At 44.9% G+C, this 14,561-nt stretch overlaps 1 protein-coding gene and 1 pseudogene across 5 annotated transcripts in view, besides 5 other annotated features; one reads left to right on the top strand and one right to left on the bottom strand.

Annotated features, from left to right (window-relative positions):
- Positions 1,993–2,500: an enhancer, noted in NCBI's record as "H3K27ac hESC enhancer chr6:53224670-53225177 (GRCh37/hg19 assembly coordinates)". NCBI's record gives its function as "activates a minimal SCP1, AML or CMV promoter by ChIP-STARR-seq in naive H9 embryonic stem cells {active_cell/tissue: H9 hESC(naive)}" and the evidence as "EXISTENCE:reporter gene assay evidence [ECO:0000049][PMID:30033119]".
- Positions 2,501–3,009: an enhancer, noted in NCBI's record as "H3K27ac hESC enhancer chr6:53224161-53224669 (GRCh37/hg19 assembly coordinates)". NCBI's record gives its function as "activates a minimal SCP1, AML or CMV promoter by ChIP-STARR-seq in naive H9 embryonic stem cells {active_cell/tissue: H9 hESC(naive)}" and the evidence as "EXISTENCE:reporter gene assay evidence [ECO:0000049][PMID:30033119]".
- Positions 2,501–3,120: a biological region, named in NCBI's record as "H3K27ac hESC enhancer GRCh37_chr6:53224161-53224669".
- Positions 2,761–3,120: a silencer, noted in NCBI's record as "silent region_17290". NCBI's record gives its function as "represses an Ori minimal core promoter by ATAC-STARR-seq in GM12878 lymphoblastoid cells {active_cell/tissue: GM12878}" and the evidence as "EXISTENCE:reporter gene assay evidence [ECO:0000049][PMID:35858748]".
- Positions 7,333–7,711, bottom strand: RPL31P28 (ribosomal protein L31 pseudogene 28; annotated as a pseudogene).
- The window catches only part of ELOVL5 (ELOVL fatty acid elongase 5), an 81,547-nt gene continuing 80,407 nt past the window's right edge, over positions 13,422–14,561 (top strand). For 4 of the 5 annotated variants that reach the window (NM_001242830.2, NM_021814.5, NM_001242828.2 and 1 more), the window contains exon 1: positions 13,422–13,555. The gene's annotated coding sequence lies outside the window, so the exon portion shown is untranslated. Of the gene's footprint in view, positions 14,023–14,561 lie in introns of all 5 variants that reach the window. The other variant, NM_001301856.2, reaches the window with a different exon arrangement.
- Positions 13,582–14,021: a silencer, noted in NCBI's record as "silent region_17289". NCBI's record gives its function as "represses an Ori minimal core promoter by ATAC-STARR-seq in GM12878 lymphoblastoid cells {active_cell/tissue: GM12878}" and the evidence as "EXISTENCE:reporter gene assay evidence [ECO:0000049][PMID:35858748]".

The raw sequence follows: 14,561 nt of genomic DNA, 5'->3' as shown, positions 1-14,561 counted from the left end.
AGCACGCGTAAAAGGCCTAGATGAGAGAAACTCACAGAGAGGAACAGTATGGTGCAAGTGTAGAGAGTGGTGCCAGTGAGGCTGGGCAGGTAAGCAAGGACCCACCTCAGGCAGGTCTTTCGGCCATAGCGATGATTTGGGATTTTGTACCAAGTGCAATGGGAAAGCTATTAAAGGTTGTTTAAGGATTTGGGATTGGCATTTCTTTTTAAAGGCCACTCTGGCAGCTTGATGCAGAAAAGTTCTAAATTCTCAACTTGCAACCTAAAGGGATCTCCTTTCTTTGCTTTTAATTTTGACCTCAATTGCTCTGCCAAAACTCATTGCATACACCATAATTCTTGCTTTGTATTTACTTGCATTGTTACTTTATGTGCTGCCTTCCTTTACTAGTTATTCATAGACTTGACTCACTGATGCACCCTACCCCAACTGTAACCTTTTCCTGTGGGCAGAAAAGATTTCTCAGTCATTGTTGTGTGCCTACAGCATGGAGCAGATACACTTGGCTAATCTGTTAAACCAGATTGCGCTAAAAGTCCCATCATAGTTTGCTGCTTTCCCCCCATCAAAGAGCATCCTGTGACCTAATTAACTCAGTCTTTAATCCAACGGCTCTGTACTCTGCTTGCCACAAAGACTGAAGTCCCTGAACAAGACCTGGGCAGCCCTCCAGCATCCTTGCAGGCAATACCTAGCAACCGAAAGAGGTCTTGTTTTGTTTCAGGTCAGCCCAGGGTTACAAAAGTCATCAACTCACGTGACCTGGCACTTCAGAATCTCAAGGAACTCTCCTTCTACCTTTCATAATACTGGCATGAAAACTATGTACTTAACAGAGTTCTCAAAAAACACAACTCATCTCCAAGAGGTGCTAGTACTCGGCTAGATGCAGTTTTTAGCTAAGGACTCCAAAATCATCAGATTCCTTTTCACCTTCCATTTATTGTGGATTGAAATTTCATGATGTAAGGGAGAGAAGTATGGAAAGGGCCTGAGGCAGGAGAATAGGATCTGGAGGCAGGGAACCTAAAGCTGTTTCACACCAACTTCCTAGAACTAAATTAGGAGGCGGGGCGCAGTGGATCACGCCTGTAATCCCAGCACTTTGGGAGGCCAAGGCGGGTGCATCACGAGGGCAGGAGTTTGAGACCATCCTGGCCAACATAGTGAAACCCCGTCTCTACTGAAAATACAAAAATTAGCATGGAGTGGTGGCGCGCGCCTGTAGTCCCAGCTGCTCGGGAGGCTGAGGCAGGAGAATCACTGGAACCTGGGAGGCGGAGGTTGCAGTGAGCTGGGATTGTACCACTGCACTCCAGCTTGGGTGACAGACCAAGACTTTCGTCCAAAAAAAAAAAAAAAAAAAAAAGAAAGAAAAGAAAAGAAAACCCTAACTTTCCACCCCGAAGTAACAAGAGGATCAGAGGCTACTCCCCTTGACATTTTCTGCCAGGCAGTTGGAAAATTGGGAGTTAGCAACAAATCAGACCGATTGCGGGTCCAGTCTTCCTTTGCAACTTTGTAATTTCACTCCAGCCTCTGAATGGTTGTCTACAACCAATCAGACTGATTGCGGGCTACCACTTCATTTACATGAGGTGAGCATGAAGTGGCCAAAGGGAAACAAACCTCTAGAGGGTATTTGAACCCAGGCAGATTCTGTATCCAGGTCCTTGAGCCTCTGCCCTGGTAGCTCCTACACTGTGGAGTGTACTTTCGTTTTCAATAAATCCCTGCTTTCGTTCTTTCGTTGCTTCATTCTTTCTTTGCTTTGCTGGGCCTTTTGTTCAATTCTTTGTTCAAAATGTCAAGAACCTGGACAATTGCAGTCACGACCGTCTACCGGTGAGAGGCCCACACTTTGTCACTTACAAACTATGTATGACCTTGGCCAGATGAATCTCAGCCTGTTTCAACATCTACAACTGGTGGTAATACCCATCTATTCCTACAGACTTGTTAAAAGGATTAAATGATAAGCAGAAATATCTACCAAGACTTTACAAGCAAGCCAAACTGCTTTCTGTGCTTTTTCTTGTTTTTTGTTTTTTTGGGGTTTGTTTTTTTTTTTTTTTTTTTTTTTTTTTATGGTGAGGCAGAGGGAGTAACCTTTGGCGTCAACAGAAAAGCCACTAGGTTTCCTCTTCTTTTCTTCCCTGGTGAGTGATACTTTTTGGAAGATATCTCAGAAGTTTTTTAAAAGCTCATTTATGAAATATAACAAGACACATTTTCAATATCATGGAACTTAGGAGGATACAAAAAGCAAATATAATTTTAATCACAACAGGAGGAGTCTTTTATTGTTTTACCCCCACTCTCGGGCATCCTGGACACGCATTAACAGTCTACAACGGAGGGCTCATTCACGATTATAAAAGACTGTGAAAGATGAGTAACGATTTAAGGCTTCTCTCCAGAGGCCCTTCCCCAGCTCCAGGTTTAGGCTGAACTGCCCACGGGGACCATTTTCTTGCTGCCTAATCTCCCCCTCTTCTCCCGCCCCACGCGGTTCCACCCACTCGCGCGTCTCGGGACTCTGATGAACGTCCTAAACTCCAGCCTGGACGCTCTGGGCTCTGGATCTGAAGGGCGTGGAAGCACCAGAAGTCAAGGCCGCCTTCCATTCTTCCCTCAAGGCCTCAACCACCCTCCGATCCCAAGGTTGCGTGGTCCGGGCCGCACAACCCTCCTCTCCCTAGCTCAGCGCCTCCTCCACCCCCACCCGATGTCCCCAGGAAGGGTCAGCGCGGGGACGAGGTCTGGTCATTGCCCGGGAATTACCCGGCCCGGGAGCGAGCTCAAGGCGGGGAGGGCGCGAGCGTGCTCCTCGCGAGGCCCCGCCCCATCGCCAGATGCGGCGCTGTTGGTGAGCGGTGATTGGTGGGTGCAGCCGCGGAATGAATGGGGTGACCGCCGCGGGGGAGCGGGGCGGGCCCGCCGAGGGCGCGGGGCGGGCGAAAGGAGCCGAGTGGCGCAGGGCTGGCGAGAGGAGCCGAGTGCCGCGGGGGTGGCGGCGGCACCGCCCTGAGCCACAGGCAGTTAACGGTGTCCACGCCGCGCGAGTGGAGGAGGGGGCCCCAGGCAGGCCCTGGTACCCGCGCCTGGCGCGAGTGTGCCCACCGCGTTCCGGGAACCCAGAAGTGATGGTGGCCCTCAAGGGCCTGCGGTCAAGACTGGGGGAAGGGGTTGCAAAGGGAAGCCACGCCCGCCCCTCAGGCCGGTGACAAAGGGCGTCCCCGCCTCTCTGGATCCCTCCCGGGTTCTCGGAGCGCGATGTGCCAAGAAGGCCCGGCTCCTTTGATTGGAATTCATGTCTGGACACCCAGTTTTTTTCTGTCCCTACACCAATACCCCTTTTTGACTCCATATTTTAGATTCAGTCACTCAGGCCAGGTGGCTCACACCCCTGATTCCAGCGCTTTGGGAGGCCAAGGAGGAGAATCGCTTGAGCCCAGGACTTCGAGGCTGCAGTGAGCGGCGATCGCGCCACTGCGCTCCAGCCTGGGCGACAGAGCGAGACCCTATCTCGAAAAACAGGAAGAAAAAAAAGTGTGCGCACACTTTATGCCCGGCACACCCCAGTAACAAGGTAGACTTGTTTCTGCCATCCTGAAGTGTAATAGGGAAGGTAGGAGGTAAAAATGAGTAAACAGAACAACTACAGATTGTGCTAAGTGCTGTGGACAAAGTAAAGTAGTGGCTGAGGAAGAGGAAGTAGAGGAGAAACTGATTTTAGCCAGGTATGGGAAAGACCTGTCGTTTTAAAACGATGACTTCTCAATTGAGACCTGGGAAGAGGAGAGGTGAGCAGTTTTAAGAAGAGGGTATACAGCCTTTGCAAAGGCCCTACTGCTACAATGCCCTTTCCTCATCCTCTTTGACATGTGGATTCCCACAGCACTTTTTTTGCACTTCCTAAGGCACATCGCTTTTTGCCATATATTGGTAAAAAGTTTTATCACCCCAATTCCTAGCACATACCAAGTTCCCAAAGAATAGTCAGTAAATATGTACTCAGCATCCACTGACTTCTAGATTTCTTGCTATGTGCGGAGGATAATTTAACAAGTGAATTCATTCATGAATGAATGTTTTCTGAAAAGTAATTCTGTCTTTTTATGCCTGTTCTATGCATCCACTGTGCCCCCCCTTTATCCCTACTCCGTGTGAATTTTTCTTAACCACAACACAATTTTCTGGGCTTTCAGACTTTCACAGTCTAGTTTCTCCTTGCTTGGCTGATCTAATAAACTAATTGGGTCTACTCATTAGTGAACGAAAGTTCAATGCGTTATCCTCCCCATATAATGTCTGTGTTTTGGTTTGTGTTATAGTAAGCTGCAATACCTTAATTCAAAATAATAAATGAAGTGAGAAATTGAGGCACTTGACTACCCCCGAGTTGAGAAAATGTTTACTGATATCTGGGGGAAGTGGGTTGAGGAATGAGGGTTCCTTACCAGTAAGTTCCCTAATCAGTGAAGCAGCAGCTTAATTTGTTTTCAAAGTCGCTTGCCTTGACCTCTTCTTTTTGAAATTGGGCAACCTATACCCATATGTGTATATGTTTTTCATGATATGAGAAAACCATTTTGGGAAAGGTAAATTCTTGTGACCGGTATATTGACATAGTTATCAAACACTAGGCATACCTTGATTGTTTTGATAAGCAAAGTAAATAAACTTTATTTCAATTAGTCTGTGTCTGATTCTGTTGTAAAAAGTATTAACTATCCCTACATTACAGATTATTCCAAAATCTAGTGGTTTGGAACAACATTTTTTGCCTCAAAGTTTCTGCAGATGAGGAATTGGGGCATTGTTTGCCTTAGCAGGGTTCTCTACCTCAGGATTTCTCACAGACCGCAGTCAAGGTATCCACTGGGCCTGGAGTAATCGCAAGACTTTTCTGGGGAAGGATCCACTTCCAAGTTCACTCATGTGGTGATTGGCAGGATTAGTTCCTCAAGGGCTGTTAGATTCAGAACCTCAGTTCCCAGCTCCCTGTGGACAGGAGACCAACCTTAGTTCCTTGACATGTAGACAGTTCCATAGCACCTTCCTTCATCAAAGTACACAAAGCCAAGAAGTTACAGAGGGAGTGCCAATAAGATAGAGGTCACACCTTCTTTTCTAACAATCTAGGAGGCGACATTCCATCATTTTTGCCATGTTCTGTTATGAACAAGTTACTAGGTCCAACCCACCAGCATGAATATCAGGCGGCAAAGATTATTGGAGCCACGTCAGAATCTGCCTATCTTGTCATTAAAGTACAATAAACTGTGATATGAATTGGGGGCTCCAACATTTTTTTCTTGCACATCCTGAAACAGCCTGTGTCTTATTTGCTATCTTTATCATAAGGAAAGTAAATGGTTTTCTGGGAGTCTAGCTCAATAAACATTTATTGAATGCCTACTATGTACCTGTCACAGCATGCTTGAGGTGCAAAGATGAATGACACATATTCTTCACTTGACTTGGGGAGGAGAGGCAATAAGCAAACAATTACAATATTAATATTATAAATGATAAAAAGCCTGCACAGAATGCTTTGGTCATGGGGAAAGAAGGAAGGAACATATTGTTCTAAGTCACATTCAAGGAAGTAAAAGAGGTCAGGGTAGGTGAAGAGAAAAATAAAAAGATCATGTTTAGATTAAGACTCAGTAAAGGCCAGGTATGGTGGCTTATGTCTGTAATCCCAGCACTTTTGGAGGCCGAGGTGGGCAGATTACCTGAGGTCAGGAGTTCAAGACCAGCCTGGCCAACGTGGTGAAACCCCATCTCTACCAGAAATACAAAAATTAGCCAGGCGTGGTAGCTCACACCTGTAGTCCCAGCTACTCGGGAGGCTGAGGCACAAGAACCACTTGAACCCAGCAGGTGTGGGTTGCAGTGAGCTGAGATCACACCATTGCACTCCAGCCTGGGCAACAGAGTGAGACTCGGTCTCCAAACAAACAAACAAACAACAACAACAACAAAATTCAGTAGAAGTTGGCCAGGCGTCATAGCTAGGCCTGTAATTCCAGCACTTTGGGAGGATAAGGCAGGTGGATCCCTTGACCTCAGGAGTTTGAGGCCAGCCTTGCCAACGTTTTCTACTAAAAATACAAAAAAAAAAAAAAAAGTTGGGCACAGTGGAATACACCTGTGGTGCCAGCTCTACAAGAGGCTGAGGTGGGAGAATCACTTGAGCCTGGAGGGTGGAGGCTATAGTGAGCCAAAATGGTGCCACTGCACCACAGCCTGGATGATAGAATGACAACCTGTCTCAGAAAAAAAAAAAAAAAAAGGTAGTTAATCTTATGCATCAATAAGATGCAAAAGTATTAACATATTGTATTCTGTATTTTCTAGACTTTAAACCATCTAAAATTGTCCCAATTTTATGCTCATAGGGTATTTGAAAACTTTTACATTTTATACCCTAATTCATTCTATTGAAATACATCTTATAGAGAAGACTGTAACAGTCAAAGCATGTCATTTAACCATTCAGATTAGAAGGCAACACTGCAATGCTATTTAACTCAAAAGAGAATTGACTGAGTGAACTTGACACAAAGGGGTATATGAATTTGGGAAGAAAAAAGTGCTTTACAATCAAAGGCCAAGAAATAGTTTTCAAAAATAATTAAATTGCAACACAAACTTGTAGAATTTCATTTGAGTCTTAACATCCCACATTCACTCTTGGCAAAAAGTGAATTTGAGACTGTGAAAATAAATTATACTACCAGTTTTTGACATGCAAAATCATGTCTAATATTGCAGGTGGACAAAAGCATGGCCTTTTATGACACATTATACTGAGAACTAAAACATCACACAACTTGGAATGACTAATTCACTTATGGCTAAGTTTTAAAAAACTTTTGTTTTACAAAAGATAGAATTAGCACAAAGCATATTCCGTACTGTATCACCGGCTCCAAAAAATCTCATAGAGCACTTTCAGAACATACTACTTAACAAGAACATACTCCTTAACAATAGAAACCACATCGCTGTTCTTGGTCAGTTGTTCACAGGTACTTTTTTGGCTAAAAGTTTATTTATCTTATGCTTTTGTTCACATCCTGGAAATCTTTAGCTATTTAATATGTTACAGAATAAAATAAATCAATTATGAAATGTATCTTTTAATAACCAGCAAAGTAAAGACACATTGACCATCTATCTTAGATTAAAATCTTATCTTCAGCATATCTTAGCATATGAAGAAGTTGAGAACCGAGACTTTTTTTTTTGCAGTTTTATACCTTTATTTGATGTATTTGAGGATCAGCAATTAGTTCTCATGCACATGGACTGTCTGCACATTTTTGAAAGTGCTAACAGGTACATAGGTAACCAAAGTATAGCGCTTATTTGGTGAATCTTCATCCTCATTACGTTTTCTGGACAACTGCACACGGATTCGGTACGGGACATTCCTTATTCCTTTGGCGCAGAGAGCTTTGTTGAACCTGCTATCAATGCGCACACTTAGAGTTTCCACCTCTTTGATGGCAAATTTCGGAATCTCTCTGAGTGCCCGAGGGGCACGCTTCTTGAAGCGCACTCCATGGATGCGCTTGTGAATGTTGATGGTGTATTCTTGGATCACCACCTCATTGATGGCAGAATGACCCTTTGCTTCTCGCCACCCTTCTTTGCAGGAGCCGTTCTGCCGCGTCCAAGTTGGAAAGGGAGAACTGATACTTGAATTTAAATTCTAATTCTGCACTAACTGGCTGTGCAGCCTTGGTCATGTCATTTAACTCTTCTGTGGCTCAATTTGTTTGTCTCATTATAATGTTGGAAGCATAAGGGAAAGAATTGTTACGAACCTGGATTCATCACTGAAATAAATATAACAGTTTTTATGTCAAGAGAAAGTGCTTGATATTCAAGATAACTGATGCATGCATAGAAAGGGTAAGATATCCCAAATTCATAGCAATTTCAGACTAAATAATGTTTTGTTTTCATTAAAAGTATAGTTACAGTCTTTTTAATAGCACTTTAAAAATGTTAAATATTCCTTTGGAGCATGTTAATTTTTCACATTTTAAAATTTCAGAAAGGCAAAAGGAGAAATTTGTTGTATCTACTGTAACAGGGAACAGAAAAATTATACTCAGATAATATTTTTAAAACTATTGTAGTTAGTGTTTTCTTTCTCTTTGACTTAATTTTTAGTCAAATGATACCTAGTAAAAACATATATTATTGACTTGCATTTCAATTTTACATTAATTCATTTGTTCCTTTACCAATTCAGTAAATATTTGTTGAGCTCCTACCAAGTGCCAGGTAGTGTTCGAAGTGCTGGGGAAACAGTGGTGAAGAGAACAAAGTCTGTGTCCTCAATGAGCTTATGGGGCTGTGGGGATAATACACAAATATTAAAAAGTAAATCTATACTATGCCAGAATGTTAAGTGCTAAGGAGAAACATAAAGTGTTCCAGAGTGTGAAAGGCAGGGAGGGAGGTGTTGCAAATTTAAAGGGAGTGATCCAGGGGAACTCCCTAAGGAAATGACAGTGATGTAGCAACCAGCATGAAGCAAGGATGTAAGTCTTGGAGATTTCTGGGTTAGATTATTCTAGGCATGAGGTAAAGAGTAAATGCAAAGGCCCTGACGCAGTCTAGTACTTGGTGTGCTCAAGATATTTCTTGGGGCCATTGTGGGTGGAAGACAGAGTAGCTGTTTAAAGTCAGAGAAATGGCAAGTTGCAAAATCATGAAGGATCTTATAGGCCATTGTAAAGATTTTGACTTTTACTATCAGGGAGATGAGAAATTGCTAGATGACATTGAGCAGACATGTGACGTGATTTGGCTTTGGTTTTAAAAGGATCACTCTGGCACCTGGTTTGGGAATAGACTGTAGGCAGCAAAGACAGAAGTAGAGGTCTGGTTAGAAGACCATTACAACATTCTAGGCAATGGTTGATAGTGACTTAAACCAGGTGGTCATGTTGGAGATGGTAAAAAGCAAACACATTCTGGATATGTTTCAAAGGTCAAGTAGTAGAGTGTTGCTGATGCACTGGATGTAGTAGGTGAGAAAAAAAGAGGAGCTAAAGGTAACTCCAAGGTGTCTGATCTGAGAAACGGGGTCCATAGAATTGTCATTTACAAATCTGGGGACTACTGTGGAAGATCAGGTTTGAAGGCCAGTTAAGAGTTCATTTTTTGTTATGCTTAATTTGAGATGTCTTTTGGATATCTCATTTATGAATATATCTCATTTAGAGAAGTCATTAATAAGTAGTTAAGTACGTAAGTCTGGAAATCAGGGAAAATGTGTGGGCTGGAGAAATACACTTGGAAGTCAGCCGACCATAGATGAAATCCAAACACATGAAAGGGGATGATATCACCTGCAAAGGAAATGTGGATACAGAAGACTGGGATGCAGATCTCTTTCATTGCCCAGTCACTTCTGGAGACAGTACTAAAGAGTGTAAAAGGAAGTGGAGAAGAAAATCTAGAGAATCCAGAAATTGTACAAATTGTTCATTCATTAATCGAATATTTATGAACATTTGTGATTTGCCAGAAATTCTGCTAGTCATTAAGAAAACAATATAGCAGACCAGGCATGGGCAGTGTCTTCAAGTAGTTCATGTTCATCAAGATGAACACTCAAGGACAAGGACAGAGATAAACTGCAGGACATATTGTTGAACAGCAATGAAGAAAAGGAATAGCAAAGTAACAATTGAAGTATGGAACTGACTCCAAGGTCTGAGGAGGACAAGAAACTGCCTTTAATCTACCTCTGCCTCCGACAAAGACAAGCCAGGTGGCCTGTGGGAATTCTGGGCAGCAAGATAATAGAAAACACAAATTAGAACAGAAGAAAAAAGGATTGTGGGGGGAGGCGGAGAACGTAGGAACCAACAGAGACTGCAGTGTCATCTTTAGCATAAAATAGCTGCTACTTGACCTATATTTTAGTCAACTTTGATATGTCCAGAGGCAAACATTGGCTTATATCTTTTCTGGAAGGATGTGTTTCATTATGTCATGCAAATACGTCCTAATGAAACAAGTTTCACTAATCAGAATTGTATTCTAATGAAAGTTCCAATTGTATTTTTTAATTCAACTGCAGCTGCTATAACAATAAAACAAATTGCCTAGGATGTTAAGTACTTTCCTTTTCAAAAGCAATACTGAAGCAACCTTCTAATACACTTAGAAGTGTGTGGTTTGAGGAGATTTGAGCTCAATGATGAAAACTAAGAGCAAAAGGAAAAATATTACCAGAATTTAAAAACAAATAGAAGGCCAGGCACAGTGGCTCACGCCTGTAATCCCAGCACTTTAGGGGGCCGAGGTGGGTGGATCACCTGAGTTCGGGAGTTCAAGACCAGCCTGGCCAACATGGCGAAACTCCATCTCTACTAAAAATACAAAAAAATTAGCCAGGTGTGGTGGCGGGCGCTCCCAGCTACTTGGGAGGCTGAGGCAGGAGAATTGCTTGAACCTGGGAGGTGGAGGTTGCAATGAGCCAAGATCGTGCCATTGCACCCCAGCCTGAGCAACAAGAGCGAAACTCCATCTCAAAAATAAATAAATAAATAAATAAATAAATACATGAAGGAGAAAGAAGAAAATATTAATAGTTAGCTATTGAATGAAGATAATTCAACAATCATTTCTTGGGGGACTACCATGTGGATGCTATGAACAAACAGGTAATAGTTACAAGGTTTTGTTAACTGTACCTTACATGGGCTCACATTGTTGGATAGGTGGGTTAGAAGGGCAAGGATGGCTTCAGCACAGTTTCCAGAACCCAGCTGGCCAGGAATCTGATTCTGATGCTACCTAAAACAGGTTCCTTGAGCCCTGTTATTTAGTAAGCCTGGCATTGGATCCTAGGTATTCTTTTGATTTATTTGGAAAAAATCCCACAGTTAAGTTGGGGAGTCGTTTCGGCTCCACTGTTTTTCTTACAGCTTTACTCATGAGTGCAATGATGCAGAAATACGAAGTAATTGTTAGGGTGGGAGGAAGTTTCCCCCAGAGATATATGACACATGATAAACATTACATTGTAATATGTAAAATAATACATTTGCATATATATATATGTTCTGAGAACTCTAAGTCTCTGGCTGGAGAACTAATGAGAACATGACCGTACCAACATGTTTGAGAGGAGTTAATAATCTAATAATCCTGGGATGTGACTATCTGACAGAGGATTGGAACTCTGGAGCTGAAAAGTGATGGTGATGGTGAGGGGGAGTAACTGTTCACAGATTCACTCATCTAACACGTATTTATTGAGCCCTTATATGCCAGGGATTGTACTAAGATCTACAGATCAATAAGGAGCAAAATTCAACATGTTTTCCCCTTCAACGGAGTTTACTACCTAAAGCGGTGGTCTTTAAAGTGGGGTACATATACCCCAAGGATTGAGTGAGATGATGCCATCAGAAAGCAACTACAATACAGGGTGGTGATGCTATAATGGAAACCAAGATACACACATCAACAAAGAACTGTGTAAAAACGCAGCCTTTGGGGGATGGGAAAAAACAGCAAAACGTCATACTTAATCATACAATAAGAAAAATCACTTGATATTTAATGCATAGCTTGACAGTTATATAAGCCTGAACTTAAAGATATTTTGGTCAAATGGGCTTAAAACATTTTATTGATAGGTAAGCACAATTCAAACAAGTGCGGCGTAAAACTTAAGACTTTTGGAATCTCAAGTTAAATTAGAAACTTTTAAAACCTGGAAAGGCAAAACTTAGATGGGATGACAGAGATGAACCCTGGCCTTGGACTACTGGCAGAAGCGTGAAGAATGAAGGAGATATCTCAAAAAAATAGTCTATGCCACCAGCATATGCTTTTCTCATGTCCCTTGATGTCCATAGCAGCATTTACCACTCTGCATTGTAGTTGCTTCCTGACTGTATCATTTTCCAGGCCCAAGAAGTCCTTGAAGGTTTCAAATTTTGAATACCTAACATAGTATCTAGCAAATTGAAGTCATTCAGTGTTTGTGGAGCTCAATGGCAACTGACAATCTCGATTCTTTGTATATGTTTAATTTACTTAATTTGTACATGGTTTGTATACTTGCATTCCTATTGCAATGGCCCACTGCCTGGAACACAGCTGGCACGTGATAAGCATTACATTGTAAATATGTAAAAGAATAAATTTGCCGGCCAGGCTCGGTGACTCACGTCTGTAATCCCAGCACTTTGGCAAGCTGAGGCGAGCGGATTACCTGAGGTCAGGAGTTCGAGACCAGCCTGGCCAACATGGCGAAACCTCATCTCTACTAAAAATACAAAAATTAGTCGGGTGTGGTGGCGCGTGCCTGTAATTCCAGCTACTTGGGAGGCTGAGGCAGGAGAATCGCTTGAACCCGGAAGGTGGAGGTTGCAGTGAGCTGAGATCGCGCCACTGCACTCCAGCCTGGGCAACAGAGCGAGACTCTGTCTCAAAAAAGAAAAAAAAAGAAAAAAAAGAATAAATTTGCCTACATTAAATAGCCGACTGTTAGGTGGATGCACATAGAGGAGTAAGAATACAGCAAGAGGGGCACACGAAGAAAGGCTAAATCTCTGGGGTTTGAATGGGGAAACAGTAGGATACAAAGCTAATGAAGGTCTTTAATTATCCAAATATCAGTGAAAAACAGCAAGGATCTTCCGTTTATGCCCTGAACCCCCTTTGTCTTAAGTGCTTAAATATGCTTAGCTGAAAAGACACTGATTCCATCTTTCCTCATTTAACAATCCTTTAGAATAATTTCTAGAGTAGAAATGGAGTTGATAGTGGCTTCCAAAGAAAAATCAGAATCCCTAAGAAAAATACACGGTAAATCCTTTGCAAGGGAGTTATGGTTACAACAGTTTTGAGTCGTTTTGTTCTTGTTCCTTTATCTTGTTCAACTGCAGACCTTCACTCCGGCGGTCTCCGTGGGCATTTAACCCTTTCAGCTTTAACGATGAAGTGGATCCCCTTCAGCATGACATAACTCATAGAGGAGACCGTAACGAGGGTGGGCTTCTGCCACCCAAATGCGGCCACAGACTCCTGCCACGCCTGGCAGTAAAAAAACCAGAGTTCAGGGCATCGACAACTTCACCGGGGCTATTGCGCAGGCTCTGCGTTCCACGCAGGCTTATTAGGAAGAAAGGGGAAAAAAATTTCCCAGAGACACGTGGAACCGAGGGGCCAACCCCGGCCTAGGCTCTCCACCGCATCGGATTCTGGAATTTACGATCACGAAAGTTCTATTGTCCCGCGATTGGCTCCCGGGCCGCATGACATCATAGCGCTTGATTCATCCTTCGGGTCCCGATTGGCTGGCCGCGCCATTGTGACGTCACGGTCAGCCCACGTTCTGATTGTAGATAGCCGGCGCCTTCCTCTTCCCATCGCGCGGGTCCTAGCCACCGGTGTCTCCTTCTACATCCGCCTCTGCGCCGGCTGCCACCCGCGCTCCCTCCGCCGCCGCCGCCTTGCTGCTGCTCAAAGCTGCTGCCGCCCCTTGGGCTAAAAGGTAAAGCCGTCAGCTCCGGGAAACTTCGTCGGGGGCCGCCGCTCGGCCATGACACCCGCGCGAGCGCGCGGCCGGGAAGCGGTCAGAGAGAACTGCCGTTAGGTCTCGGACCTGGTGCCGAGAAAGAGCTGCCGGGGCAACCCGCGCTCCGCCCGCGGCCTCCAGCTCCGCCGGCTCCGGGGTACAGCCCGGCTCCTCGGGCGCGGGGAAAGGGGTGCGGGTGCGGGCGCGGGCGGCTCGCCCCACGCCGAGGCTGAGGCAGGGCGCTCGGGAGCGTTCTCTGTGCTGCGGTCCCACCTGTGCGCGCTGACAGGCGCCGCGGGGCACGACACCGTGCCCACACCAGACGCGGAGGGATGGATCTGTCCGCCTGGGTCCTCCCGCCCTGCGGGCCGGAGCGCGCGGCGGGAGAGCCGGGGGAGCGCTCTCGGAGGGAGCGCGCTTTCTTTGGAGTCGGCGAAACCCGGGTGAGTTCGAAGAGCCTGTGCGAGGGTCTGCGGGCACCGGGCGCCGCTGGGGGGACTCTCCGGCCTTTCCTTTTTGTCCTGTTCTCTCCGCTTCCGTTAACCCTGCGGACCTTCCGTCCGCCCCTCGGAGGGAAGCCTGCTAGCTCGGGACCGCTTCAGTTTTTATTGAAACCAGACAACGGCAGCCCTTGGTACTCAGGGAGGGATGAGGCTGGTGGGAAAGCGAGAGGGCGGGGACTCGGGGGCGACCGGGGCGGCCCTTTCTGGGAGCCTGATCCCTGGAGAGGCGGGAGCGGTTGGCTGCGAGGGAGGCGCGCGGCGGGGGGGCGGTTGTGCTCTGCGCCGGGGGAGCTAGAGTGTGTGTTGTCTTGCGAGTTGTAAGGAAAAGTGCCTTTTTACTGTTTCCACGCCGGTAAGACTCTCCCACCCCACCACCTCGGGTCGACGGAGCAATGCCTAGAGCAAGAGTTGTTCTTGCTGAACTGCGTCTTGCAACCGTTCCGTGTTCTTGCACTTGGCGGTTCCCCCCGCCCCATCCA

This window comes from Homo sapiens, chromosome 6 (genome assembly GCF_000001405.40).
Source record: "Homo sapiens chromosome 6, GRCh38.p14 Primary Assembly".
NCBI lineage: Eukaryota > Metazoa > Chordata > Mammalia > Primates > Hominidae > Homo > Homo sapiens.
The sequence above is the reverse complement of the archived record's forward strand: the minus strand, read 5'-3'. Positions and strand labels throughout refer to the sequence as shown.